This window comes from Homo sapiens (assembly GCF_000001405.40).
Source record: "Homo sapiens chromosome 9 unlocalized genomic scaffold, GRCh38.p14 Primary Assembly HSCHR9_UNLOCALIZED_CTG3".
Taxonomy (NCBI): domain Eukaryota; kingdom Metazoa; phylum Chordata; class Mammalia; order Primates; family Hominidae; genus Homo; species Homo sapiens.
In genome coordinates, this window is record NT_187374.1 from 172,857 (window position 1) to 176,845 (window position 3,989).

Sequence of the window (3,989 nt, forward strand, 5' to 3'; positions counted from 1 at the left end):
TAGTATTTTGCTAGTATTGCTAGTATTTTGCTGAGATTTTTGCTTATATATTCATAAGGGATATTGTGCTGTAGTTCTCTTTTTTGTGCTCTCTTTGGCTTTGGTATAAGGATAATGCTGTTATCAAAAAATGAATTAGCAAGTATTCCTTCTTCATATATTATGTCGGAAGAGTTTGAGAAGAAATGGTATTAATTCTTTTTTAAATGTTAGGTTGACTCACCAGTTAATGCAGCTATATGGTCATAAATGTTTCTTTGTTAATCGCTTTCGATTACTAATTCAATATCCTAGGTTATAGGTCTATTCATATTTTCTCTTTCTTCTGGAGCCACTTTCGTAGTTTGTATCTTTCTAGTGATTCGTCTATTTCATCCAGGGCAGCTAATTTGTTGTTAGACAGTTGTTCACAGTATACTCCTGTAATCCTTTTGTATTTCTGTAAAGTTGGTAGTAATGGCTCTGCTTTCATTTATTATTTTAATAATTAGTCTTCCATCTTTTGCTCAGTCAATATAGTGAAAGGCTTGATCTTTCAAATAATCTATGTTTATTCATTCTACTGCTCTCCAAACTTCTATTTTATTGATTTATGCTCTAATTATGCTCTCTATTATTTCTTTCATACTGCTAGCTTTGGATTTAGTCTTCTTTTGTCTTCTTCCACTGCCTTTAGATATAGAGTGAGGATGTTGATTTGAGATTTTTCTTAAATGTAGTTGTTTATATCCATACATTTTCCTTTGAACTCTACTTTCACTGCATTCAATAAGTTTTGGTATGTTTTGTTTTTATTTTAATTTATCTCAAGATATTTTATAATTTTGCTTGTGATTTATTTTTTTCACTCACTGGTAGTTGAAGACTGTATTGTTTAATTTCCACATTTTCATGAATTTTCCAGTTTTCACTTATTTATCTGTTGTTTCTTCCATTGTGGTTGTAAATTATATTTTGTATGATTTCAAACTTTTAAAAATGATTAGGATATATTTTGTGGACGAAGATATGGCCCATCCTAGAGAACTTCCATATACACTTGAAAGGAATGTATATTCTGCTGTTGTTGGATGGACTGTGCTGTATATGCGTATTAGCTCTCAGTGGCTTATACTGTTGTTTAACTCTTGTATTTCTCATGAAGCTTCTGTCTGGTTTTTCTATCCATTAATTAAAATGAGGTATTGAAGTGTCCAACTGTGACTATAGAACTGTGGGTTTATCCTTTCAATCCTGTTAATTATTTCAGCTTTACTGAGGTGTAATAGAGAAATAAAAATTGTACATGTGATGCGTTTATATGCACATTCTGAAATGATTACCAAAACGAAGTCAATGAACATGTTAATTAACTCACAGAATAGTTACCTTTTTGTGTGCATGTGTGGGATAAGAAAACTTAACTCTATCCCCTGTGACTGCAGAGTGGACATTCCGGCTGCTCCAGGCTCCAGCAGAGGAAGACTGGGGCAGGTGGCTCCACCAGGGAGGCCCTCAGGCCTGGCGCGCACGCATTCCAGAGGCCACCCAGACCACGCTCCGCCGCCTGGGCGCACAAGCTGCAGTCACCCTCCGTGTGCAGGCAGCAGCTGCCTGGCAACCCCTGAGCCCGCTTGTGCTCCCAGTCTCGCAGAACCAGGGCCAGGTATCCCTGTGGCTGTGGCCAAGCCAGGCATTCTGCCCAGCGGTGGCGGCTGCACAGGGGCGAGAACTGAGAACCCGCCGATCAACCCCACACGGGGTGACTGCCGAGTGCCCATGACAGCGGCCCCGATCTCTCTCAGGTGGAGGAGTGGGTGGGAGGCATGGCCTGGGGGCCCTCAGGCTGGGCGCGCTGGCGATCCCGAGGCCGACCAGGCCATGCACCTCCAGCCCGCCTGGGCTCCCAAGCTGCAGCCGCCTTCTGTGTGCAGACAGCAGCCTCCAGGCAACTCCTGAGCGTGCCCGCTCTCCCCACATCTCCGAAGCAGGGCCAGATGTCCCTGTGGCTGCGGCCAAGCCAGGCGGTCTGCCCTGCAGCAGCTGCACGGGGGCGGGAAGCGGCCCTCAGCCCCATCCCCAGTGGCTGCAGAGGGCCCCTGGCTAGAGGTCTTGAGCTCTGGCAGAGGAGGAGCCGGGTAGGGGCAGGGTCTGGCTTGACCATTTGGAATTACAATACACTTCACTCATCAACCACAGAACATACACTGGAGTATCATCTGCGTGCAGATGAGTATACTGCTCAAAGCGATTTACAGATTCAATGCTTTTCCTATCAAACTACTAATGTCATTTTGCACAAAATAGAAAACATCTAAAATTTATATGGAACCTAAAAGGAGTCTGAATAGCCAAGCCAAAGCAATACTAAGGCTAGAGACATAGGCTAGAGACATCATAGTACATGACTTCAAACTATACTAGAAGACTATAGTAATCAAAACAACATGGTACTGGTAGAAAAACAGACACATAGACCAATGGAACAGACTAGAGTACTAGAAACTAAGGCCACATGCCTGCAACCATCACATCTTTAACAAAGTTGACAAAAGTAAGCAATGGGAAAAAGACTTTTTATTTAATAAATAATGTGGGGATAACTGGCTAGTCATATGCAGAAGAATAAAACTCGACCTCCATATTTCACCAAATACAAAAATTAGCTTAAGATGGATTAAAGAGTTAAATGAAAAATCTCAAGCTATAAAACGCCTAGAAAAAACCTAGGAAATACTTTTTTTGATAACGGCCTTGCCAAGTAATTTATGGCTAAGTCCTCAAAAGCAATTGCAACTAAAACAAAAAATGACAAGTGGGATTTAATTAAACTGAAAAACTTTTGCACAACAAGAGGAACTATCAAGGTAGTAAAGAGATAACCCACAGAATGAAAGAAAATATTCACAAACTACGCATCTAACAGAGGTCTATTATGCAGAACCTATAAGGAACTTAAACAAATCAACAAGCAAGCAGCAAGTAACTCCATTAAAAAGTGGGCAACAGGACATGAACGGACACTTTTCAAAAGAAGACATACACACAAGCACCCAACAAACATATGTAAAAGTGCTCATCGTCATTATTTATTAGAGAAATGCAAATCAAAACCAAAATGAAATACCATTTCACACCGTTCAGAATGGCTTTTTTTGAAAAGTCAAAAGAAAAACACATATTGGTGAAGATTTAGAGAATAGAGAACACTTATACACTTTCTGAAGGAATGTAAATTAGTTCAGTCACTGTGGAAAGCAGGTTGGGGATTTCTTAAAGAACTGAGAATTGATCTACCATTCAATCCAGTAACCCCATTACTGGGTATATACCCGAAAGAAAATAAATATCCTATCAAAAAGACACATGTAGCCATATTTTTATCACAGCAGTATTCACAATCACAAAGACATAGGCTTAATCCAGACATCCATCAGTGGTGGTCTAAAGACTCATGGAATACTATACAGCCAGAAAAAACTCAAAATTATGCCATTTGAAGCAACATGGATGCATTGTTTCCAGCAAACTAATGCAAAAGCAAAAAACAAAATACCGCATGTTCTCTTTCATAAGTAGGAGCTAAATGCTGGGTACACACGGTCATAATACAGAGGGGTGGGAGGGGCCGGGACGGTGGCTTACGCCTATAATCCCAACACTTTGGGAGGCCAAGGTGAGCGGATCACCCGAGGTCAGGAGTTTGAGACCAGCCTGGCCAACGTGGTGAAACCCCGCCTCTAATGAAAACACAAAAATTAACGGGGCATGGTGGCTGGCGCCTGTAATCCCAGCTACTCGGGGGTCTGAGGCGGAGAGTCGCTTGAACCCGGGGGGCGGAGTTTGTAGTGAGCCAAGATCGCGCCACATCACTCCAGCCTGGGCGACGGAGCAAAACTCTGTCTCAAAAACAAACAAACAAACAAAAAACAAAGAGGGAGGGGGGAGGGAATACAGATTGATTAAAACTACCGATTGGTTAGTGTCCTCTCTACCTTGGTAATGAATTC

The 3,989-nt window shown here is 41.6% G+C and overlaps 1 pseudogene; it reads left to right on the forward strand.

The window, feature by feature from the left end:
- The first annotated feature begins 1,431 nt into the window (after window positions 1-1,431).
- LOC107987369 (MAGE-like protein 2) lies at window positions 1,432-2,121 on the forward strand (annotated as a pseudogene).
- The last annotated feature ends 1,868 nt before the right edge of the window (window positions 2,122-3,989 follow it).